Source organism: Homo sapiens, chromosome 12, assembly GCF_000001405.40.
Source record: "Homo sapiens chromosome 12, GRCh38.p14 Primary Assembly".
Taxonomy (NCBI): Eukaryota; Metazoa; Chordata; class Mammalia; order Primates; family Hominidae; genus Homo; species Homo sapiens.
Genome location: NC_000012.12, coordinates 121,624,490 through 121,648,741, shown reverse-complemented (window position 1 = coordinate 121,648,741; position 24,252 = coordinate 121,624,490). Strand labels below are relative to the sequence as shown.

General features: G+C 52.4%; 1 pseudogene across 1 annotated transcript, besides 8 other annotated features; it reads right to left on the bottom strand.

The window, feature by feature from the left end:
• ORAI1 (ORAI calcium release-activated calcium modulator 1) lies at positions 5,633-22,212 on the bottom strand (annotated as a pseudogene). Its single transcript, NR_186857.1, has 2 exons — positions 21,692-22,212; positions 5,633-7,701 (listed from the first exon to the last, which is right to left on the bottom strand). The product of NR_186857.1 is annotated as an ORAI calcium release-activated calcium modulator 1, transcript variant 1, non-coding (transcript).
• Positions 9,260-9,777: an enhancer, noted in NCBI's record as "H3K4me1 hESC enhancer chr12:122076871-122077388 (GRCh37/hg19 assembly coordinates)". NCBI's record gives its function as "activates a minimal SCP1, AML or CMV promoter by ChIP-STARR-seq in primed H9 embryonic stem cells {active_cell/tissue: H9 hESC(primed)}" and the evidence as "EXISTENCE:reporter gene assay evidence [ECO:0000049][PMID:30033119]".
• Positions 9,778-10,295: an enhancer, noted in NCBI's record as "H3K4me1 hESC enhancer chr12:122076353-122076870 (GRCh37/hg19 assembly coordinates)". NCBI's record gives its function as "activates a minimal SCP1, AML or CMV promoter by ChIP-STARR-seq in primed H9 embryonic stem cells {active_cell/tissue: H9 hESC(primed)}" and the evidence as "EXISTENCE:reporter gene assay evidence [ECO:0000049][PMID:30033119]".
• Positions 10,820-10,909: an enhancer, noted in NCBI's record as "active region_7178". NCBI's record gives its function as "activates an Ori minimal core promoter by ATAC-STARR-seq in GM12878 lymphoblastoid cells {active_cell/tissue: GM12878}" and the evidence as "EXISTENCE:reporter gene assay evidence [ECO:0000049][PMID:35858748]".
• Positions 10,970-11,039: an enhancer, noted in NCBI's record as "active region_7177". NCBI's record gives its function as "activates an Ori minimal core promoter by ATAC-STARR-seq in GM12878 lymphoblastoid cells {active_cell/tissue: GM12878}" and the evidence as "EXISTENCE:reporter gene assay evidence [ECO:0000049][PMID:35858748]".
• Positions 15,303-16,183: an enhancer, noted in NCBI's record as "H3K27ac-H3K4me1 hESC enhancer chr12:122070465-122071345 (GRCh37/hg19 assembly coordinates)". NCBI's record gives its function as "activates a minimal SCP1, AML or CMV promoter by ChIP-STARR-seq in naive H9 embryonic stem cells {active_cell/tissue: H9 hESC(naive)}" and the evidence as "EXISTENCE:reporter gene assay evidence [ECO:0000049][PMID:30033119]".
• Positions 20,253-20,312: an enhancer, noted in NCBI's record as "active region_7176". NCBI's record gives its function as "activates an Ori minimal core promoter by ATAC-STARR-seq in GM12878 lymphoblastoid cells {active_cell/tissue: GM12878}" and the evidence as "EXISTENCE:reporter gene assay evidence [ECO:0000049][PMID:35858748]".
• Positions 21,443-22,332: a silencer, noted in NCBI's record as "silent region_4981". NCBI's record gives its function as "represses an Ori minimal core promoter by ATAC-STARR-seq in GM12878 lymphoblastoid cells {active_cell/tissue: GM12878}" and the evidence as "EXISTENCE:reporter gene assay evidence [ECO:0000049][PMID:35858748]".
• Positions 23,371-23,871: an enhancer, noted in NCBI's record as "H3K4me1 hESC enhancer chr12:122062776-122063276 (GRCh37/hg19 assembly coordinates)". NCBI's record gives its function as "activates a minimal SCP1, AML or CMV promoter by ChIP-STARR-seq in primed H9 embryonic stem cells {active_cell/tissue: H9 hESC(primed)}" and the evidence as "EXISTENCE:reporter gene assay evidence [ECO:0000049][PMID:30033119]".

Here is a 24,252-nt window from a genome sequence, read left to right as displayed (position 1 = left end):
CTGTGCTCCTAACTAGGAGTGTTTGTCTAAGTTGCCTGGGTGTGAGAGCACCTGGGGTGCTTGTTAGAAATAGATTCCAAAGACACACCCAGACCTACTTAAATCAGAATCCTCCAAGGGCTTCGAAACCTGCATTTGACAAGCCTGGCTGATGAGTCGAGTCCCGGCCAGTTTAGGAACAAGAACCCAAGACAACAGGATCCTAGCCCAGAAATAATTCCAGCTGGATCTTGCATCCCTACAGAAGTAGGGAGGTGGCTGTCCTAGGGGAATACGTAAAAGATGTCCAGGACGGCCGGGTGCGGTAGCTCACGCCTGTAATCCCAGCACTTTGGGAGGCTGAGGCAGGTGGATCACCTGAGGTCAGGAGTTGGAAACCAGCCTGGCCAGTGTGGTGAAAGCCCATCTCTGCTAAAAATACAAAAATTAGCCGGGCGTGGTGGCTCATGCCTGTAGTCCCAGCTACTCGGGAGGCCGAGGCAGGAGAATCCCTTGAACCCGAGAGGCAGAGGTTGCAGTGAGCTGAAATCGCGCCACTGCACTCTAGCTTGGGCAACAGAGTGAGACTTGGTCTCAAAAAAAAAAAAAAAAAAAAAAGTCCAGGACTTCTCTGGGGAGCAGTGGGGGTTCATAGAGGTCCCTCCCTCATCTACTTGATACCCTTCAAAAGTGTGGATTAGGCCAGGCGTGGTGGCTCACGCCTGTAGTCCCAACACTTTGGGAGGCTGAAGCGGGTGGATCACATGAGGCCAGGAGTTCCAGACTAGCCTGGCCGACATGGTGAAACCTCCATCTGTACCAAAAAATACAAAAATTAGCCAGGCGTGGTAGTGTGCACCTATAATCCCAGCTACTTGGGAGGCTGAGGCAGGAGGATCGTTTGAACCCGGGAGGCGGAGGTTGCAGTGAGCCAAGATTTCACCACTGTACTCCAGTCTGGGCGACAGAATGAGACTCTGTCTCAAAACAAAACAAAACAAACAAAAAAGAAGTGTGGATCCTGGAGCATGTGACACAGGACTGCAAATGCTGCTGGAGGGAAAAGGAGGGTCCCCTTCCCCACCCAGACTATGAAGCTGCCGTTCACTGTGTCCCAGTCCGCACAGGACAAGAACTTAAGGCCACACTTTCCAAATTGTGTTTCTCCAGAGTCTTGGGGTTCTGTGAAGCACCTGGGACAACAATGATAGGAGAAAGAGAAATATCAGGCCTGCTGATGCTCCACCCACATTTCACTTCAGCCAGACTACATTCTTTTATAAAACTAATTAAAAACTTGGTTTAAATTTTTCTTTTTTGAGACAGGGTCTGTTGCCCAGGCTGGAGTCCAGTAGCACAATCAAGGATCACTGCACCCTCTACTTCCCAGACTCAAGCGATCTTCCAGCCTCAGTTTCCCAAGTAGCTGGGATTACAGGCGCGTGCCACCATGCCCAACTAATTTTTGTATTTTGTGTAGAGACAGGGTTTCGCCATGTTGCCCAGGCTGGTCTCAAACTCCTGGGTTCAAGTCATCTACCTGCCTCATCCTCCTAAAGTGCTGGGATTACAGGCGTGAGCATAACCACTTTCTATATTAGATGTTTGGGACAGACAGAAATCTCAAACTCAAAGGCCTAATGAGGCCAAGAAAGTCACATGAGTGAAGGCGGCCTGGTGTGAGACAAGAGGGAGTGCTGGGGACTGTGGAAAAAATAGGCCCTGGGGAGAGTGTGGCTGCAGTGCAGCTGCTGCTCATTGTTGCTCTGTAAGAAGGTGGCCCCATGCAGCTAGGGCTTCCAACAGTTCTTTAATGTATGTATGTGTGTGTGTGTGTGTATGTATGTATGTATGTATGTATGTATATATTTATTTGGGACCGAGTTTTGCTCTTGTCGCCCAGGCTGGAGTGCAATGCCGTGATCTCAGCTCATTGCAACCTCTGCCTCCCAGGTTCAAATGATTCTCCTGCCTCAGCCTCCCAAGTAGCTGGGATTACAGGTGTGCTCCACTACGCCTGGCTAATTTTTGTATTTTTAGTAGAGATGGGGTTTCACCCTGTTGGTCAAGCTGGTCTCAAACACTGCTGACTTCAGGTGATACAGCTGCCTCAGCCTTCCATAGTGCTGGGATTACAGGTATGAGCCACCACACCCGGCCCTCCATTTAAAGCAAAGCCAGAATCAGCCCAGGTAAGATCTTTGTGAGGGCCTAGGCTCTGAGCCAGACTATCCAGGTTCAAATCCTGGCAATTTACTTAACTTCCACGGGCATGAATTTTACCTTCTGCAAAATGGAGATAATAATAGTACTCACCACTGGCCGGGCGCGGTGGCTCACGCCTGTAATCCCAGCACTTTGGGAGGCCGAGATGGGCGGATCACGAGGTCAGGAGATCGAGACCATCCTGGCTAACGTGGTGAAACCCCGTCTCTACTAAAAATACAAAAAATTAGCCGGGCATGGTGACGGGCGCCTGTAGTCTCAGCTAGTCGGGAGGTTGAGGGAGGAGAATGGCGGGAACCTGGGAGGTGGAGCTTGCAGTGAGCCGAGATCGCGCCATTGCACTCCAGCCTGGGTGACAAAAGTGAGAGACTCCGTCTCAAAAAAAAAAAAAAAAAAAAAGGTACCCACCATATAAGGGTGCTGAGGGTTAAATGAGTTGATGCATAGTGCGTAGAATAGCAGCTGCACATAATGATTTTTCTTTTTTGGAGTCTTGCTCTGTCCAGCAGGCTGGAGTGCAGTGGCACGCTCTCAGCTCACTGCAACCTCCAGCTCCCAGGTTCAAGAGATTCTCCTGTCTCAGTCTCCCGAGTAGCTGGGATTACACGCACGCACCACCACGACCAGCTAATTTTTGTATTCTTTTTTTTTTTTGAGACGGACTCTCTCTCTGTCGCCCAGGCTGGAGTGCAGTGGTGCAATCTCGGCTCACTGCAAGCTCCACCTCCCGGGTTCACGCCATTCTCCTGCCTCAGCCTCCCGAGCAGCTGGGACTACAGGCAGCCACCACCACGCCCAGCTAACTTTTTGTATTTTTTAGTAGAGACGGGGTTTCACCCTGTTAGCCAGGATGGTCTTGATCTCCTGACCTCGTGATCCGCCCGCCTCGGCCTCCCAAAGTTCTGGGATTACAGGCGTGAGCCACTGAGCCCAGCCAAAAAGTTTTTTAAAGACAAAGGCTAGCCTGGGTGCTGTGGCTCACAGCTGCAATCTCAGCAGTTCGGGAGGCCAAGGTGGGAGGATCCCTTGAAGCCAGGAGTTCAAGACCAGCCTGGGCAAGAGAGGCCCTGTTTCTATAAAAAATACAAACATTATCCAGGCGTAGTGGCATGTGCCTGTATTCCCAGCTACTCAGGAGGCTGAGGTGGAAGGATTGCTTGAGCCTAGGAGGTTGAGGCTGCCCTCTAGCCTGGGTGACATGGGAAGTCCCTGTCTCAAACACAAACAAACAAAAAAAAGGCTGAGGAATTGTTCCAAATTAAAGGAGACTAAGGCTGGGCACGGTGGCTCACGCCTGTAATCCTAACACTTTGAAAGGCCAAGGCGAGGGGATCACTTGAGACTGGGAGTTTGAGACCAGCCTAGCCAACATGGTGAAACACCTTCTCTACTAAAAATACAAAAATTAGCCCGGCGTGGTGGTGGGCACCTGTAATCCCAGCTACTCGGGCAGCTGATGCAGAAGAATCGCTTGAACCTAGGAGGCGGGGTTTGCAGTGAGCCAAGATCATGCCACTGCACTCCAGCCTGGGCGACAGAGTGAGACTCCGTCTCAAAAAAATAATAATAAAATAAAAATAATAAAGGAGACTAGGAAGTGATATCTCGTTGTGACACACAATCCTCAAGTGGAAAAAACGTCACTAGAAGGGACATTACTGGGACATTTGGGAAACTGAACAGGAATGTTCTATCTGATAATTGCCTGGATTTGATCACTGGATTGTCGTCATGTAGGGAAATGTCCTTAGTTTTAGGAGGAAGTATTTAGGCATGAAGGACCATACCGGTAACTACAGCACATGCCTCAGGGGGAAGGTAGACACAGTCCCTCCTCAGTCTTCAGTCAGTGTCTGTGACTTTGCCAGCTTTGCAGTGAGCCGAGATCGCACCATTGCACTCTAGCCTAGGCAACAAGAGTAAACCTCTATCTCAAAAAAAAAAAAAGAAAGCTGGGCGCGGTGGCTCACACCTATAATCCCAGCACTTTGGGAGGCCGAGGTGGGTGGATCACCTGAGGTCTGGAGTTCGAGACCAGCCTGACCAACATGGAGAAACCCCATCTCTACTAAAAATACAAAATTAGCTAGGCGTGGTGGCGTATGCCTGTAATCCCAGCTACTCAGGAGGCTGAGGCAGGAGAATGGCTTGAACCCGGGAGGTGGAGATTGCTGTGAGCCGAGATCGCACCATTGCACTCCAGCCTGGACAACAAGAGTGAAACTCCGTCTCAAAAAAAAAAAAAAAAAAAAAGCTGGGCATGGTGATATGTGCCTGTGGTCCTAGCTACTTGGGAGGTGGAGTGACCAGAGCTCACTGCAGGGAGGATCACTTCAGCTCAGGAGTTGGTGGTTACAGTGAGCTATGGTCATGCCACTGTACTCCAGCCTGGGTGACAGAGGGAAACCCTGTCTCTAAAATAAAATAGGCAGGGAGCAGTGGCTCATGTCTGTAATCCCAGCACTTTGGGAGGCTGAGGCGGGCAGATAACGTGAGGTCAGGAGTTCGAGACCAGCCCGGCCAACATGGTGAAATCCCGTCTACTAAAAATACAAAAATTTGCTGGGTGTGGTGGCGCGCTCCTGTGATTCTAGCTACTTGGGAGGCTGAGGCAGAAGAATCACTTGAACCTAGGAAGCGGAAGCTGCATGTGATCAGAGATTGTGCCACTGCACTCCAGCCTGGGGGATGGAGTGAGACTGTTTCAAAATATATATATATAATAATAGGCCGGGTCCAGTGGCTCACGCCTGTAATCCCAGAACTTTGGGAGGCCAAGGTGGGTGGATAACGGGGTCGAGTTCCAGACCAGCCTGGCCCACACAGCGAAACCCCTGCCTCTACTAAAAATACAAAAAAATTAGCCGGGTGTGGTAGCCGGTGCCTGTAATCCCAAGTATTCAGGAGGCTGAGGCAGGAGAATCGCTGGAAACCAGAAGGTGGGCTGGGCGCAGTGGCTCATGCCTGTAATCCCAGCACTTTGGGAGGCCCAGGCGGGTGGATAGCTTGAGGTCAGGAGTTCGAGACCAGCCTGGCCAACGTGGTAAAACCCCGTCTCTACTAAAAACACAAAAATCAGCTGGGCATGGTGGTGCATGCCTGTAATCCTAGCTACTCAAGAGGCTGAGGCAGGAGAATCACTTGAACCTGGGAGGCAAAGGCTGTAGTAAGCTGAGATTGTGCCGCTGCACTGGAGCCTGGGCAACAAGGTAAAACTTTGTTTCAAACAAAAGAAAGAAACCAGAAGGTGGAGGTTGCAGTGAGCAGAGATCGTGCCCTTGCACTCCAGCCTGGGCAACAAGAGCAAAACTCTGTCTCAAAAAAAAAAATATATATATATATGTATAATACATAAATACATATATATATTATCTAATATTCCTCAGTGCAAGAAGGTTATGATGGATATACATATGGAGAAAACAAGTATGTTAGATAAACTTTATTTAGGCATGTGTTCTAGTCCTGTGGGCTGTGAGTTCAACGGTAACAACTCAACCATATATATATATACACATATATATATGAATCTTTAAACAGAAATACACATAAAACAAGATTACATATTGATCAGCTGATGAAAATATCACGACCAAAGCTCACAGGAACGCAACCCTGTATTTCTCCTAGGAGCAACGGTCCAGTATGTGCTAAGTCAGTGCTCACAGTGATTTTACAGATCGCGCCACTGCACTCCAGCCTGGGTGACAGAGTGAGGCTCTATTTAAAAAAAAAAAAAAAAAAAAGACTTCTAAAGAAAAGACTGAATATGTATTTCAGATAGACACTATTCCTGCAACTTTTTGTAGGTTTGAAATTTCTCAAAATAAAATGTTGAATTTTTTTTTCTTTTTTTTTTGAGACGGAGTTTCACTGTTGTTGCCCAGGCTGGAGTGCAATGGCGCGATCTCAGCTCACTGCAACCTCCGCCTCCTGGGTTCAAGCGATTCTCCTGCCTCAGCCTCCCGAGTAGCTGGGATTACAAGCATGCGCCACCAAACCCAGCTAATTTTGTATTTTTAGTACAGATGGGGTTTCTCCATGTTGGTCAGGCTGGTCTCGAACTCCCGACCTCAAGTGATCTGCCCGCCTTGGCCTTCCAAAGGGCTAGGATTACAGGCGTGAGCCACCATGCAGGGCAAATTTTTCTATTTTTTTAGAGACAGAGTCTCCCTCTGTTGCCCAGGTTGGAGTGCAGTGGTGTTACCATAGCTCACTGCAGACTTGGCCTCCTGGGCTTAGGCAATCTTCCTGCCTCAGTCTCTCAAAGGAGCTGGAAGTGCAGGCGCCGTGGCTGGCTAATTTTTGTATTTTTTGTTTGAGATGGGGTCTCAAACTCCTGGGCTCAAGAGATCCTCCTGCCTTGGCCTCCTGAATAGCTGAGACCACAGGTATGTGCCACCATACCTGGCTTAAAATTTGTTTTAAGTTTTCCTAGAGGCTCACCTAACCAGGGTGAGCAGTAGCCCAGGCCCAACAAATACAAGACACGGGAAGGAGGTGTCCTTATGAGTATATTTATGTGTCACACACACATGTACACACTCAATGCTGGACGGGAGGGAGGTTGAGACGGACAGGACAGGAGGAGGCACCCAGGTGGCACTGGCACAGGGGAGGAGAGGGGACACAGCGAGTGTGTGGCCCCACTTTGGCCCCCCACCGCCTCCCAACAGGAGGTGGACCTGGAGCTGGAAGAACAGGAAATGCTTATTCTCTTAGAGGACAGTTTCAAAGTGCAGAAATTTCTCTTATAAAAATCCTCTTCCCTCCATGCTCTGCCCCTTGCTGAAGCCCAGCCCCCTGCGCAGGCTGTCCGTGAGGCTGGGGCAGGACAAGGTCAAGGGGAAGGGCGTAAGGCCAAAGCACTGGAAGGGCCCAGACCACATGGGCCTAGGCATAGTGGCTGCCGGGCGTCAGGGGGTGGTCCCCTCTGTGGTCCAGCTGGTCCTGTAAGCGGGCAAACTCCGCCAGCTCGTTGAGCTCCTGGAACTGTCGGTCAGTCTTATGGCTAACCAGTGAGCGGTAGAAGTGGACGGCGAAGACGATAAAGATCAGGCCGAAGGGCACCATGATGGTGGTCGAGGCGATGGCAGCTGCCTGGCCCGGGGTGATGCCGCTGGTGCTGACGTTGGCTGCTGCGCCACTGGCGGGGGGCTTGCTGGTGGGCCTTGGCTGGCCTGGCTGCTTCTTGAGGGGCAAGAACTTGACCCAGCAGAGCAGCACCACCTCAGCTAGGAAGAGCAGCGTGCCGATGACGGTGGAGAAGGCCCAGGCCAGCTCGATGTGGCGGTGCATGCGCTCATGGGGGGACTCCTTGACCGAGTTGAGATTGTGCACGTTGCTCACCGCCTCGATGTTGGGCAGGATGCAGGTGCTGATCATGAGCGCAAACAGGTGCACAGCCACCAGCACTGTGGTGCAGGCACTGAAGGCGATGAGCAGCCCCGGTGGGTAGTCGTGGTCAGCGTCCAGCTGCACCTCCACCATTGCCACCTGCGGGGGGACAGGCAGGATGAGTGCCAGCGGTCCCAGCCCACACTACTACTCTTCAGTCCTAGCTCTCCTCCTGTCAGGCTCTGGGACCCTGGCCAGTCGCTTGGCCTCTCCGAGCCTCAGTTTTCATATGTCTACAATGGGGATAGTAAGGCCTATCCACTTGTGGATGAGAGTGGCAGAAAGCCCTACAGAAAGCAAGAGCCAAGGCTGCCTGGATCTGAATCCCAGCCCTGGCACTCACTAACTGTGCAACCCTGGGAAAGTCACTTAACCTCTCTGAGCCTCGATTTTCTTTTCTTTTCTTTTTTTTTGAGAGGGAGTCTCACTCTGTTGCCCAAGCTAGGCTGGAGTGCAGTGTCGCGATCTCGGCTCACTGCAAGCTCCACCTCCCGGGTTCACGCCATTCTCCTGCCTCAGCCTCCCAAGTAGCCGGGACTACAGGCGCCTGCCACCACGCCCGGCTAATTTTTTGTATTTTTAGCAGACGGGGTTTCACCGTGTTAGCCAGGATGGTCTCGATCTTCTGACCTCGTGATCCGCCCGCCTCAGCCTCCCAAAGTGCTGGGATTACAGGTGTGAGCCACCGCGCCCGGCCTGAGCCTCGACTTTCTTATCCGTAAAATAGGGATATAATAGTAGTTCATAGGATTTTTTTTTTTTTTTTCTCCAAACAGAGTCGTGCTCTTTTGCCCAGGCTGGAGCCCAGTGATGCGATCTCGGCTGACTGCAACCTCCACTCCCGGGTTCAAGTGATCCTCCTGCCTCAGCCTCCCGAGTACCTGGGATTACAGGCATGCGCCACCACACCTTGCTACTTTTTTGTACTTTTGGTAGAGACGGGGTTTCACCATGTCGGCCAGGCTGGTCTCGAACTCCCAACCTCAGGTGACCCACCTGCCTGCCTCAGCCTCCCAAAGTGTTGGGATTACATGTGTGAGCCACCACACCCAGCCAATTCATAGAATTATTTTAACAATTAAATGAGAGCTGGCACATGGTAACCACCTCCCAAAACACTGCTATTACCACCTAGCCAGGTATTAGAAACCAGCCGCAGGACAGGCACAGTGGCTCACGCCTGTAATCTCAATACTTGTGGAGGCTGCGGTGGGAGGACTGCTTGAGGCCAGGAGTTCGAGAGCAGCCAGGCAACACAGAGAAACCCCACCTCTATAAAAAAAATTTGTTTAATTAGCTGGGGGGTGGTGGTGCACACCTGTAGTTCTAGCTACTTGGGAGTCTGGTGGGGAAGGATCGCTGGAGCCCAGGAGTTTGAGGTGGTGGTGAGCTATGACTGCCCCATGGCCCTCCAGTCTGGGCACCAGAGCAAGACCTTGTCTCTAAAAAAAATAAAATCAGGCCGGGCCCAGTGGCTCATGCCTGTAATCCCAGCACTTTGGGAAATTGAGGCGGGTGGATCACCTGAGGTCAGGAGTTGGAGACCAGCCTGGCCAACATGGTGAAACCCCATCTCTACTGAAAATACAAAAATTAGCTGGGCGTGGTGGCACGTGCCTGTAATCCCAGCTACTTGGGAGGCTGAGGCAGGAGAATCACTTGAACCCGGGTGGCGGAGGTTGCAGTGAGCTGAGATCGTGCCACTGCACTCCAGCCTGGGCAATAGAGTGAGACTCTAACTCAATAATAATAATAATAATAATAATAATAATAATAATAATAATAATAAAATTAAAATTAGTACCAACCACCACCATCAGTGGTCAAAATGGTAAATTTTGTTATGCGTATTTTACTATGGTTAAAATAAAAGCATTAAAAAAAGCAATCGCCAGCCATCATGCCTGCTGGCCCCACATCCTCACACCCAAGCAGAGGCTTCTCCTTCATGCCCTGCTCTGGGGACATGCAGAGGGGTGGTGGCTGCCCTCCCAGGGCACACTCAGGCCCTTCTGAGAACACAGCGCACGACCTGACATACAGAGCAGGCTTCCCAGAAGCGACGGGCCCAGCCCTGGTGCAGGCTGGGTGGCCAGTACACCCTGGGGCTGTCTCCTCCCCAGCCCCAGGGCTGACACACCAGCTGCCCCCAGTTCCTGGAGACCTGTGGACCCGAGGTCACCAGGGGCATGCTCCGGGCCAGACACCCGCTGCTCCTCACCTGGGCCTTGCAAGTCACCCCCATGCAAAGGAGCCAGCTTATCAGATCTGGGCCAGGAGCAGCGGGCAGTGGGCACACAACCATGGTCAACCCATGAGGGCTGGAGGGACAGGGGTAGGGAGATGGCGGATACCTATGGCAGTCATTCCATCAAGGACAGTGACTCTTTATAAGGTGTTTGCTATATATGTGGCAGGCTCAGAGCGGCAAGCCTAATGTTGAAGTTTCTCCATTAGCCGCACACTAGCCTGGCCCCCAGCAGGCAGGGAATTCCTGTCCTCACCCCTCCTGCCCTAGGTAGGGGTGTGGACTCCTTCCTTCCCCACCGCTCTCCTTTTACAGTCTGCCTGGCTTGAACCCTGACTCCCCTGCCCTTGATTGGGCTGTATGACTCTGGCAAGCTTTCAACTTTCTGTGCCTCTGTTTTCACATCTGTAAAATGGGAATAATGGGACAAGCCTCGAAGGCTTCTTCTGAGGATTAAGAGAGTCAATCCATGTAAAACAGGTAGTGTCCGGCACACAACAAACCCTCAATAAAAGTGAGCTTCATTATTACTCAGTTTAGGAACCTCATCCCCACCCCACAGTCTCTTTACAACATCCTCCAGAGGGGCACACTCAGGCATAAAGAACGCCAGGCCAAACTGGCAAACCCATGTTCCAGCTCCTTAACTGCCTGTTTACCGGTAACCTTGGCCAAGACCCTCCTCAACACCCATAAAAAAAGGGGCTGCAGCGAGATGAAGGTCACAATCTGGATCTGACTTGGGGTCGGACATCTCTGAGAATCTGAAGATGGTGGACACTCTCCTTAAAACAGCCAAGTATCATTTATTCACAGGACTTTTCTGACAATTTCAACAGGATTCACAGGCTTTTGTCTAAGAATGCCCACAGTGGATGGCAGTATGTACTTCTCAGTCCAGGCGTTTACAAAACATTTCAAGCTCATATAAATTTGGGGCAATGCCATCAGGATTTCTACCGTGTTTAAGATCTTTGGTGGCCGAAAGCCAGCCCTGAGAATTCTGAGTCCATGCGGGTGAGGGTATCTCAGCACATGTGGGTGCTGGACACAAGACGTGGGGTAGGTCACCAGGGCACGGCAGATGGAGGGCCACATCCTGCAGCTCCCTTGTCTCTGCCCCCAGGCCTGCCCACACCTGGAAGAGGGGAGCCCCCTCCAGCAGCCAGTGTCTCCTGCCACCTCCCCACCCCCAGCACTTCCTCTTCCTGCTCTGGCCTGCCACCCCGGAACCTGAAACCCAAGACAGGACAAGCAGCAGCGGCTGTTGCTGAGCTGCCCCAGGTCCACTGCTACTGATCCACTCACTGGAAACGTCTGGAGCCTTTAGGTGGCTCAGGCCCTGAGCTGGCCGCTGGGGTGTGTATGGGGGGCCTGTATACAGGTCTGCAGTCCCATTCTGCTCCCTACTTGGTGCCTCGCCTGTGCCCCAGCCACCCCCGAGGTAGTGTCTCTCCCCCTCTATGCAGTCAGGACCACAGAACAAACCACACAGCTGGCTGCAAACTGGCTCCTCCACTTACAAAGCTGTTGACCTTGGATAAGGATCTCAACCTCTCTGTGCCACAGCTTCCACACCTATAAAATAGAGGCTGACAGGGGCAGTGGCTCATGCCTGTAATCCCAGCACACTGGGAAGCTGAGGAGGGTGGATCACTTGAGGCCAGGAGTTCAAGACCAGCCTGGCCAACATGGTGAAACCCTGTCTCTACTAAAAATACAAAAATTAGTCAGGGGTGGGCCAGGTGTGGTGGCTCATGCCTGTAATCCCAGCACTTTGGGAGGCCGAAGCAGGCAGATAACTTGAGGTTAGGAGTTCAAGATCAGCCGGGCCAACATGGTGACACCCTGCCTCTACTTAAAATACAAAAAAATTAGCTGAGTGTGGTGGCACACACCTGTAATCCCAGAAAATTGGGAGGCTGAGCCATGAGAATCGCTTGAACCTGGACATGGAGGTTGCAGTGAACCGAAATCATGCCACTATACTCCGGTGTGGGCAACAGAGTGAGACTCCATCTCAAAAAAAAAAAAAAAATTAGCTGGGGTGTGGTGGTGGGCACCTGTAATCCCAGCTAATTGGGAGGCTGAGGCAGGAGAATCGCTTGAACCCGGGAGGCAGAGGTTGCAGTGAGCCAAGATAGTGCCACTACACTCCAGTCTTGGTGACAGAGCATGGTCTGTCTCAAAAAAAAAAAAAAAAAAGAGAATCCCACGAGTTACTAATACCATTATTCTTCTTTTACAAACGAGGAAACTGAGGCTCAGAAAGGTGATGTCAGCTGTCCAAAGGGTTACTCTGCTGCTGGATTCAAAACCAAGTCCACTTGGCTCCACAGCCCGGGTATGAAGGGGGCAAAGGAGCACCTCCCTCACATGGTGGCTGAGATTAAATGTAGTTTTCATATGTAGATGTTTAGCATAGGGCCAGCTACAGCAGCTCAATAAATCTTGGTTAAAAAGAAAAACACAGGGCCGGGCGCGGTGGCTCACGTATGCAATCCCAGCACTTTGGGAGGCCGAGGTGGGTGGATCACGAGGTCAAGAGCTCGAGACCAGCCTGGCCAATATGGTGAAACCCCGTCTCTACTAAAAATACAAAAATTAGCTGGGCGTGGTAATGCGTGCCTATAGTCCCAGCTGCTCAGGAGGCTGAGGCAGGAGAATCGCTTGAACCCAGGAGGTGGAGGTTGCAGTGAACCAAGATCGCGCCATTGCACTCCAGCCAGGGCAACAAGAGCGAAACTCTGTCTAAAAAAAAAAAAAAAAAAAAAAAGAAAGAAAGAAAGAAAGAAAAACACATAAAGCAGGCACACACCTGTAATCCAGCAATTTAGGGAGCTGATGTAGGAGGATCACTTGAGTCCAGGAATTCGAGATCTCCCTGGGCAACACAGTGAGACCTCATCTCTACAAAATCAAAAAATTAGCTGGGTGTAGTGAGTATACCTGTAGTCCTAGCTACTCAGAAGGCTGAGGTGAGAGAATCCCTTGAGCCCAGGAGGTTGAGGCTACAATGAGCCGTGATTGCGCTACTGCACCCCAGCCTGGGCAACAAAGTGAGACCCTATCTCACACACACACACAGACACACACACACACACAAAGAAAAAAAAATTAGCTGGATATAGTGGGCATGACTGTAGCCCCAGCTACTTTTTGTTTTTTGAGATGGAGTCTCACTCTGTCACCCAGGCTGGAGTGCGCTGGCACAATTTGGCTCACTGCAACCTCCCCCTCCCGGGTTCAAGCGATTCTCCTGCCTCAGCCTCCTGAGTAGCTGGGATTACAGGCGCCCGCCACTATGCCCAGCTAACTTTTGTATTTTTAGTAGAGACGGGGTTTCACCTTGTTGCTCAGGCTGGTCTTGAACTCCCGACCTCAGATGATCTCCCCACCTCAGCCTCACAAAGTGCTGGGATTACAGGTGTGAGCCACCGCACCTGGCCAGTCCCAGCTACTTGAGAGGCTAAGGCAGGAGGATCCCTTGAGCCCAGGAGTTCAAGGCTGCAGTGAGCTATGATCCCATCACTGCACTACAACCTGGGCAACAGAGCAGGACTCTATCTCTAAAAAAAAGAAAAGAAAAGAAAAAAGGAGAAAAACAGAGCTTGAAGTGGATGGAAGAGAAATAGTGCCTGGATACCCTCAGCTCAGACTGGAGACAGGGACCCCACATACCCACCTTCCAACCCCGACTCGGGGCCTCGCTTGCTATATTTAGAGGCAGCTCCAGCTCCAAACCTCGGCCACAAGGATGTGTACCCCACGCCACACCTGGCCTGATGGCCACCTCCACAGGACAGAGACCACCACATTCCACACCATTTGTCACACCCACAGGCTCCAGGGCCAGAAAGCAGTGCAGCTGTTGGGACGCACACGGCCCGGGGACACCCACACTCGCCAGCCCTGAGGTTTTGGGCTGGGGAGAGGGGAGAGGCTGGGCTCTCCGAGGAAGAGGAAAGGGCCTGCTGCCCTGCTCCGGAAGAAAGCCCATTACCCTCACCAGACCCTACGATTCCTGGAACTCCGTCCACTTAGGCAGGCTGTATGTGCCCACACTTGGAACCAAGTTCAATGCCACAGGGTTCAGGGGGCCGTGTAAAAGAATGATTCAAAGTGAGAAGAAAGGCCCTCTCCCTCTCCCTCTCCCTCCCCCTCCCTCTCCCCACAGTCTCCCTCTCCCTCTCTTTCCACAGTCTCCCTCTGATGCCGAGCCGAAGCTGGACTGTACTGCTGCCATCTCAGCTCACTGCAGCCTCCCTGCCTGATTCTCCTGCCTCAGCCTGCCGAGTGCCTGCGATTGCAGGCGTGCGCCGCCACGCCTGACTGGTTTTCGTATCTTTTGGGTGGAGACGGGGTTTCGCTGTGTTGGCCGGGCTGGTCTCCAGCTCCTAACCGCGAGTGATCCGCCAGCCTCGGCCTCCCGAGGTGCCGGGATTGCAGACGGAGTCTCCTTCACTCAGTGCTCAATGGTGCCCAGGCTGGAGTGCAGTGGCGTGATCTCGGCTCGCTACAACATCCACCTCCCAGCCGCCTGCCTTGGCCTCCCAAAGTGCCGAGATTGCAGCCTCTGCCCGGCCAGCCGCCCCGTCCGGGAGGTGCGGGGCGCCTCTGCCTGGCCGCCCCTACTGGGAAGTGAGGAGCCCCTCTGCCCGGCCACCACCCCGTCTGGGAGGTGTACCCAACAGCTCATTGAGAACGGGCCATGATGACAATGGCGGTTTTGTGGAATAGAAAGGCGGGAAAGGTGGGGAAAAGATTGAGAAATCGGATGATTGCCGTGTCTGTGTAGAAAGAGGTAGACGTGGGAGACTTTTCATTTTGTTCTGTACTAAGAAAAATTCTTCTGCCTTGGGATCCTGTTGATCTGTGACCTTACCCCCAACCCTGTGCTCTCTGAAACATGTGCTGTGTCCACTCAGGGTTAAACGGATTAAGGGCGGTGCAAGATGTGCTTTGTTAAACAGATGCTTGAAGGCAGCATGCTCGTTAAGAGTCATCACCACTCCCTAATCTCAAGTACCCAGGGACACAAACACTGCGGAAGGCCGCAGGGTCCTCTGCCTAGGAAAACCAGAGACCTTTGTTCACTTGTTTATCTGCTGACCTTCCCTCCACTATTGTCCCATGACCCTGCCAAATCCCCCTCTGCGAGAAACACCCAAGAATGATCAATAAATAAATAAATAAATAAATAAATAAATAAATAAAGTTCTAAGAAACAAACAAAAAAAATTTTAATAAAATCTTGCAACTGGGAAAAAAAAAAGTGAGAAGAAAGGAACGGTTGGCATGTGTCATGGAGCTTGATGAAAAAGTCACAGGAATAAATGCCACCACTTTTTCCAGGATACTTCCTGCTCTGGAAATCTCCCCTTGGGTGGCAGGGGGAGGGCCAGGGGCCCTACAGATCTGGCAGCTGACTGCCAGAGCCCCAGCTGAGCCCCAGCAAGATTGGATCAGATCAGATCGCACGCAGCTTCACAAGGTAAATATAGCCCGTCAGCCCAAAATAAACAGCCCCCCGCCAGCCACTGGCCGCCTGAACCTGGCGAGGCAAGCCCTATAAGGGATAGGAAAGGCAAAAGACCACCAGCTCCACCTCACACTGGTCCATGGATCCCCCCAATAGGGTTTTGGCTAGAGATGCCAAACCTTAGCAAGGGCCAAGAAGAGGGTTACATAATTCTGCGAAGGGCAAGGCCTGGCTGGCCCTGACGGACCATACCAGCCGTCAGCCCACCTCGCCTGATTGCCAGCTATCTCTCCTGGCTCCTGCTGGGCTCCATGGAGACCCTGGGCACCTGGCGCCTGCAAGTCCAGGCCCTCTGAGGCAGCCCTCCCATGCTGGGCCTGACCTCAGGTCCCACAGCCTTCCTTCCCCTGGCCTAGTTCTTTTCTTGTCCACCCTTTTAGGAGGGTGGGTGGCTGCAGCCTGGAACATGAGGCCCTCTAGGCCGCAACCATGCAGGGTCACCCGGAGCTGTCTGAGCCTGCCGGCCCCACCTCAAATGCAAACCATCTCTTAAGAGGGTATTGAGGCCTAGTGTGCAGTGGTTTACAAAGTCTTGACCATGACAGTCCAGGACTCCAAATGTTTCTATAAATAGACACACACGCGTTTATAACAGAAACAAAAGTTTAACCAATCAACATTTAGCCTTACAGCACATCAGTAAGGTCTTGCAAGATGCAATGCGTGCTGCGACTTTGTTTCATTTCACCCTTATCTCATTCTAAAAAGGACCAGGAGCTTGGTACCAAAGTTATCAAAAGAAAGAAACAACAAAATGTGTTGGTTGCAACTTAGTAAATTTGTTACAAGCCATGAATAGGCTGAATTTGCATACAGGGTCAGCGGGACACAGACCCAGACTTTCTCTTCAACTGGCTCCCAGCCAGAAAGACCAGAGCTGGAATTCTACTAGCTGGAGAATCTTAACTTCTAGGAGCCTTAGTTTTCCTGTTTACAGTACATACTTTTAAGAGCTATGGTGAGGATTCAGTAAGAATGAAAGAAAAGCGTTCAGGCTCATGCCTGGCACAACAGGGTTTCAGTAAACAGTAATCACAACCACCACCACCGTCATCATAGAATTCATCATGTAACTCCTGTCTAAAACCTTCAATGGCTCCCTGTTGCCTATCCAAGAGTTCAAATTTCCCACCCAATCAAGGCCCTCCATCATCTTGCCTGGCTAAATTCACCGTTCTCTACTACTTCCTGAAGACCCTCAACCCCAACCACAGCCCCTGTACCTTTCCCCTAGGCCCTGTAATTTCTCTTCTTTAACTGTTCCTGCCATTTCCTTTGACTTGAAGGCTTTCTCAAGTCCTAACTCCACCACACTCAAGGCTCGGCAAGAACCAGATTCTTCTCAGTTAACCCTTAGCAGCCCTAACACAATGGAAAAAAGGGTAAGCAAGTTTCTGGGATACTCGGGTCAGATACTGTAAGTGCTCTGCAAAAATTTTTTTTTTTTTTTTTTTTGAGATGGAGTCTCACTCTGTTGCCCAGGCTGGAGTGCAGTGGTGCAACCTCTGCTCATTGCAACCTCCGCCTCCCAGGTTCAAGCAATTCTTCTGCCTCAGCCTCCCGAGTAGCTGGAATTACAGGTATGCACAACTACACCCGGCTAATTTTTGTATTTTTAGTAGAGATGGGGTTTCACCATGTTGGCCAGGCTGGTCTTGAACTCCTGACCTCAGGTGATTCGCCCACTTCGGCCTCCCAAAGTGCTGGGATTACAAGCGTGAGCCAATGCGCCCGGCCGTACTCCATTTTAAAGATGAAGAAACTGAGGCCCAGAAAGGTTAAATGACTTGCCTAAGGTCTTGCCCTTATAAGAGGTAGAGCTGGGATTTGAACCAAGTTGTCTTGCTCAAGTGTCTGTTCTGACCTTACCCTGCTTGAGCTTCTCAGCTCTGTTCCCCTACACTCTCTGATGCTTTCTCTCCCACAGCAATGGCGCTACACCACAGCCACAGGGCTCTGCAGCTTCCCAGCCAGGTGACCATGCGCAAGTCTTTCCTCTCAATGACCATCACCTATACTCACCTGGTTTATAGGAGGATCACACAAGATGCTACGTGGGGCACCATCTAGCCTATTGCAAGAGCCCAATCAACAACAGCAATAATAATTACTATCAGTGATCAGTACTAGGAATAGTAATAGCAATTTCTTGCTCATTTACATGGTCCCTGAACTCTGAACACGTCACAGAGGCTCAGTGTCTTATGACTTGAGTCGTTCCTTCCAACTCATTTTCATAGAAATTACAGGAAACTTCTGAACCAGCTCTAGAACTTGGGAACAAAAGGGTGCTGGCGGGCAGAGAACTGAGGAGGCAGATAATCCAAAAATAATTGATCCCAGGTCATGGAAAGCATTTTGTTTACGGCAGCAGACTGACCTTCCCAATTATCTTCAGCTCAGGCTAATGTTACAGCCTGCCTTCCCCAGCAGACAAGATCACCACATATGCTCGCCAGTCCTGCAGGGGACGGGGTCAGGCTGAGGCTGGCTGCCTCTCAATGAAGTATAAACTGAGGCACAGAGGACCTGAATCAAAGCCCACAAGAGTACTCTGGGCTTAAGGAGCTCTACGGGATGCTGATCCTATGCTATATCCAGGCCCCCTTGCTTTGTATCTCTCATTAGAGTTTGGAGGATGGTGCGCCTGAGGCCTGCTGTTCCTAGAACTGCCGTGTGGAGCAAGAATCTCATCTGCAGATCAGAGAGGGTCCGGGCAAGGTGTGCATCATCAGACCCTGAAAATTCCTGTGTTTCATGGGCCCAGTCTGGCCTCATAATGAACCTTCATATGAGTCCATGGGAGAGCAGGATACCTGCCATCTCCATACACATTAAAAAACTGGCTTCAGCCAGGCATGGTGGCTCACACCTGTAATCCCAGCACTTTGGGAGGCCGAGGCGGGTGGATCACCTGAGATCAGGAGTTTGAGACCACCCTGGCCAACATGGTGAAACCCCGTCTCTACTAAAAATACAAAAATTAGCCAGGTGAGGTGGTGTGTGCCTGTAATCCCAGCTATTCGGGAGGCTGAGGCAGGAGAATCGCTTGAACCTGGGAGGTGGAGGTTGCAGTGAGCTGAGATTGTGCTACTGCACTCCAGCCTGGGCAACAAAGAGGAAACTCCGTCTCAAAAAAAAAGAAAAGAAAAGAAAAGAAAACTGGCTTCAAAGAAGTAAAGCCTCTTGCCTGAGGTCACCCACCAGCCATCCCCAACACTTCCCGGCCACCTGGCCAGGCTGTTCTACCCATGAAGTGGGGAACCTCTCAATCCCCTCCAGGATTTGTGGGAGACCCTCCCTCAATCTCACCTGGTTGACCCCATCCCTTGGCAATCAAAGGTCAAGTCAGCTCCTCTGACTTTCCAGGTCTCTGGGAAGGAAGCCCTCTGGGGGCAGGAAGTTGGTTGTGCTGACTCATAAGCCAAGGGAGAGTAATCCAGGAAACTTGTCACTCTGTTACCATGGCGTTGGGGCTGCTGGCACCCTCTCCTCTCCCAAGCTCACTTACAGGCTGGGTGTCTAAGTGGGAGTGGGGCATGGTCAGACCCTGCACCCAATCCCATCCCTCCTATAGATTTCCAACTTCATGGCACATGCAGTTACCTTCTTGTAACTGCAGAATGGAGAGTATCATGGGGTTCGGTCCTTCCCTGCCTGCAGAACTTTGGGGATTCCATCAGTAGTGCCAGGAAGCCTTCTCCACCCAGGTGGGGGAAAATAAAAGTCCCCAAGAGACAGACTGGGTGGGCCAAGGCCCACTCCATGCCACTGGCTGCCCCAGTCTCCTGACTTCCCCACACTGTTTTTAGCAAGAGAAGGAGGTGACATTTGACCATGAGGCCTGTCTTCGAAAGGAAGAAGGGACTTGAGAAGGCAGGAAAGTGTCATTCATCTGGATCTCACCCCTCAGGAGTGAGAAGGAGCCTGGGGCAGCTATAAACTCATGACCACAAGAAAAGGGGGAACCATTATCTTAAATACCAAGCGCTGCAGGGAAAAGCTGACAACTGGTAGCTCCCTCCCCACCACCAATTATAAAACTTTCTTTGGCTTAAAAGAAACTCTTTTGCGGCCGGGCGCCGGTGGCTCACGCCTCTAATCCCAGCACTTTGGGAGGCCGAGGCGGGTGGATCATGAGGTCAGGAGATCGAGACGATCCTCGCTAACACGGTGAAACCCCGTCTCTACTAAAAAAATACAAAAAAAATTAGCCAGGCGTGGTTGTGGGCGCCTGTAGTCCCAGCTACTCCAGAGGCTGAGGCAGCAGAATGGCGTGAACCCAGGAGTCAGAGCTTGCAGTGAGCCAAGATCGCACCACTGCACTCCAGCCTGGGTGACAGAGCAAGACTCCGTCTCAAAAAAAAAAAAAAAAAAAAAGAAACTCTTTTGCCCTATTTCTCATTTCCTAGTGTCCTAACACATCCCTGGCTGGACATCAATCAGAGTTCCTATACACCGCAATGGGTACAAGTGCCTGAGCAAGTTCTGAACACCAGCAGAGCTGGGTTCAAATCCCGCTCCACCAGACTGGCTGTGCGGTCTTGGGAGAGCCCTTTGACAAAATCACCACAGAGGGTTGTTGAGTAAGCCCAGGAGTTAAGGCACCTAGCACTGAGTGAGTGTTCAGTAAATGCCAGCTGCTTTTAGAGATTCTTCAGGCAGCAGGCAGAACCTGGTCTCTTAGGATTTGAAATTAACAGAGCAGAAGTCCGTCCTGTCTAAACTAAAAATGAGAGTGCCGTCTGTTTATGCAAACACACTCCCTGATCTCCTTTCAGGGGCTCCCTCAATTTTATTCTCAAAGTCAGAGAAACTTTTGAGTAGCAGCCTTCTTTGATCAATTCAGGAATTGAGGCCCGGACAGGGAGAGTGAGTTGCTTGAGGTCACACAGGCAGCAAGTAACTGAGCAGGGAAGGCTGCTTCCCACTCCCCATCTCCCGGCCTTTCCACTGTGGCCCAGCGTGCTCTGGGCCTTAAAAAATTCAGGCTCTGCTGCAAGGCAAAGCAGGGAGAGTTTCAGACACACTCCCTTCCCAAGAAAACACGAAGGGTGCAGCCACTCCCTCCCTCAAGGCCAAGGGCTTAGCTCACTGGTGGCGGGGGCAGGAGTGCTCTGGTCTACAGAACTGAGGGGCGGGGAGCAGAGTCCATTCATGGCAGGCTGATATCACCGAGTGGTAATAATGTAGTTATTATGTAGTCCCCTGCAACGGAGAAACTTCAATATGCCAAGCCTGAGGGTATCCCCAGAGCCACTTCTCAGGCCCATCCGCAGCCTCACCCACCCCACACCTCAGAGGCTTTGCACTCCAGCTCTTTGGGATGGTGGGGAAAGGAAAGCATGCCTATGCCCTAGATCAAGAAAGAGCCCATTGGGCCGGGTGTGGTAGCTCACGCCTGTAATCCCAGCACTTTGGGAGGCCGAGATTTGGCAGATCACGAGGTCGAGAGTTAAAGATCAGCCTGGCCAACAGGGTGAAACCCCGTCTCTACTAAGAACACAAAAATTAGCCGGGCGTGGTGGCGCGAGCCTGTAATCCCAGCTACTCGGGAGGCTGAGGCATGAGAATCGCTTGAACTCAGGAGGTGGAAATTTCAGTGAGCCGAGATTGCACCACTGCACTCCAGCCTGGGCGACAGAGCGAGACTCCGTCTTGGAACAAATAAAAAATAAAGAGCCCATTCAACGGGAACATGTCCCTCCCTCCTCCCTCACACGCAGTGACTCAGTGGCAAGTTTCTGGAGAAAAAACTGAGGGGGACTGGTTGTCAAACCCCCAGGCTGAGGCTCTCGGAAAATGCGGTGGAAAAGGGGTGTCAGGAAATCCCCTCTAGGAGCTGATAAAAGAACACGGCTAACAACTTCCGGCCTCGGGTGCCGGGGCACAAGACAGCGCAAGGTCTTTCTCCTTGTCCCCACCTCCTGACGCCCCCAGCTGGGTTAGAGCTTCTGAGTCCCTCCTTTCGCTCCTGAACGCACATGGGGCGGGCTTCTTACAGAGCTAACTTCGGGATGCATCTACCACTCTTGCTGGGGCAGGCATGGCCATGTGGAGGCACCCAAGCACCCCGAGCCCGGACTCTGATATGGCTTGTCACCACCCCAGATCGGAGTACTCGGCGCCCACCAGTGCTCACGTCCAGCACCTCTGCCCCCCGCGCAGCGCTCACCACGGTTTCTCCCAGCTCTTCCCCTCACTCTGGCCCGCCCGGCCCGCCCAGAGAGCCCCGTCGGGGCTGCGGGCGGGAGCAGCCGGGACAGTAGAGGGGGCAGGGCAGGGCGGCCGGAGCTCACCATGGCGAAGCCGGAGAGCAGAGCCGAGGTCCGGCTGGAGGCTTTAAGCTTGGCGCGGCTCAAGTAGAGCTTGCGCCAGGACAGCGCCTGCATGGAGTGCTCGTTGAGGCTCATCACCTCGGAGTAACTCTGGCCGATCCAGTCCGGGTAGGTGACGGCGGACGGCGGCGGTGGCGGGGCGGGGCCCCCGGGGGCTCCCCGTCCCCGCTGCGGCGGCGGCTCCGGCGGCTGCCGCTGGTGGTGCTGCCGCCGCTTGGGGGAAGCTCGGGACTGCTGCGGCTCGGGGGCGGGGCGGGCTCCGGATGCATGGAGCACGCCGCCGAGGCGCGGGCCGGCCCGGGCGCCGCGAGGCACCTCCGCCGGAGGCAGCCGCCGACTGCCCCCTACGCGGGCCCGGCCTCACCCGGCCGGCCGCACAGGACGAGGAGGACGAGGTCGAAGAAGTGCCCGCTGCCCCAGCACGCAGGCCCGCGGCGCCGCTGGCAAAAGCCCCCGGGCGGCAGTGACCAGAGACTGCGCGCGGGCGGCGCCTCGGATCCCCGGGGCCTGGACCCCCGGCGCGCGCCGCGATTGGCCGCCGCCCTGGGCTGTTTTGCATGCTCCCCGCCCACCTGTGCCCCGCCCACCAAGAAGTGGGCGTTGTTGTGGGCGTCACGTGACCCGCCCGCTCCGACGGCACCGCCCACGGTCCCTGGCGCGCCGCCGCCCGCCACTTTTCCTGGAAGCGCCCGGCTGCCCGCTCCGGCTCCTGGCGCCGCCCCTCTCCGCAGCTGCTCCCGTGGCCCTGCTCCTGGAGCTTGGACTCCTGGGTCGGGCCGCCTGAGGTCACCTCTGGGCGCCTCCTGAGGCCCATATCCCCTTTGGAACAAGGTGGCTCAAGGTCTGTAGGAAAAAGAGCGGCTGACGTCTGGAGTTCAAGCAGTGTTTATTTGGCGCCCACTGGGTGCCAACACTGGTCTAGGTGCTGAGGCTGGGTAGGGTGGTGAACGAGATGGACAAAACCTGTCTGTTAACCACTTTGTCCACCTGTGTTCACCAGCATCTGATACGTATTGAGGTGACCGGTTCCTGATTTATTATTTTTTTATTACTGGGTTCAAGCAATTCTCCTGCCTCAGCCTCCCGAGTAGCTAGGATTACAGGCTCCCGCCACCATGCCCTGCTAATTTTTGTATTTTTAGTAGAGATGGGGTTTCACCATATTGGCCAGGCTGGTCTCAAACTCCTGACCTTGTGATCCGCCCGCCTCGGCCTCCCAGAGTGCTGGGATTACAAGCGTGAGCCACCGTGCCCGGCCACCTGATATTTTTTAAACCAGTGAATCTTCAAACCTATTCAGCAAGTGTCTTCTGAGCAACTATTACGTGCTACGCTGAGGGATTCCAGGAAAATGATAACCTTCATTGAATATTTTATATATATATATACACACACACATATATACACATATATATGTATATATATGTGTGTGTGTGTGTATATATATATATATATATATATATATATATATTTTTTTTTTTTTTTTTTTTTTGAGACAGGGTTTTGCTCTTGTCGCCCAGGCTGGAGGAGTGCAATGGCGCGATCTTGGCTCACTGCAACCTCCACCTCCCGGTTCAAGCGATTCTCCTGCCTCAGCCTGCTGCGTAGCTGGGATTACAGGCGCCCGCCACCACACCTGGCTAATTTTTGTATTTTTAGTAGAGACGGGGTTTTGCCATGTTGGCCAGGCTAGCCTGGAACTCCTGACGTCAGGAGATCCGCCCGCCTCGGCCTCACAAAGTGCTGCGATTACAGGCATGAGCCTCCATGCCCGGCCCGAATATTATATTTTAGTGGAGTGTGGAGAGGGGCAGGAAATAAGTGAGATCACACCTTTCTGACTTAGGTCACATTTAAGCTGAGACCAGAGCCCGCCATGCAAACAGACAGGATCTAGCTTTCCAGGACGGCGAGGGAACTGCTCATGCCAAGACCTTTAAGCAGGGATATTTGGCTGTTGGAGCGTTGGAAGGCCAATTTTGGGGAGCAGAGGTGAGGTGGGGGTGTATGCAGGACTGTGCTAGGGAATGTCTCCTAGGAGGTAAACTCCGGGGCAGGGACCTTTACTATCAGCTTCACAGCTCTACCCTCAGCATCTAGAATATTCCTCGGCATACAATCGGTCCTCAGTAATTTTTTGTTGAATGAATAACTATGGGAGAGACAGGAATGAGTGACGAGCATGTGACATTGCCGGTTGGCGGGGTGAAACGTAACTCTTGTCACCACTAGAGGGCGCGCCCCCACCCAACCGTTGTGGGATGAAAACCTCTGCCCCCAAGAAGTCTCTGGTTCCCGCAGAGCCCTTTCTTGGCTTTTTTTTTAAAATTTAATTTTATTATTATTATACTTTAAGTTTTAGGGTACATGTGCACAATGTGCAGGTTAGTTACATATGTATACATGTGCCATGTTGGTGTGCTGCACCCATTAACTCGTCATTTAGCATTAGGTATATCTCCTAATGCTATCCCTCCCCCCTTTCCCCACCCCACAACAGTCCCCGGAGTGTGATGTTCCCC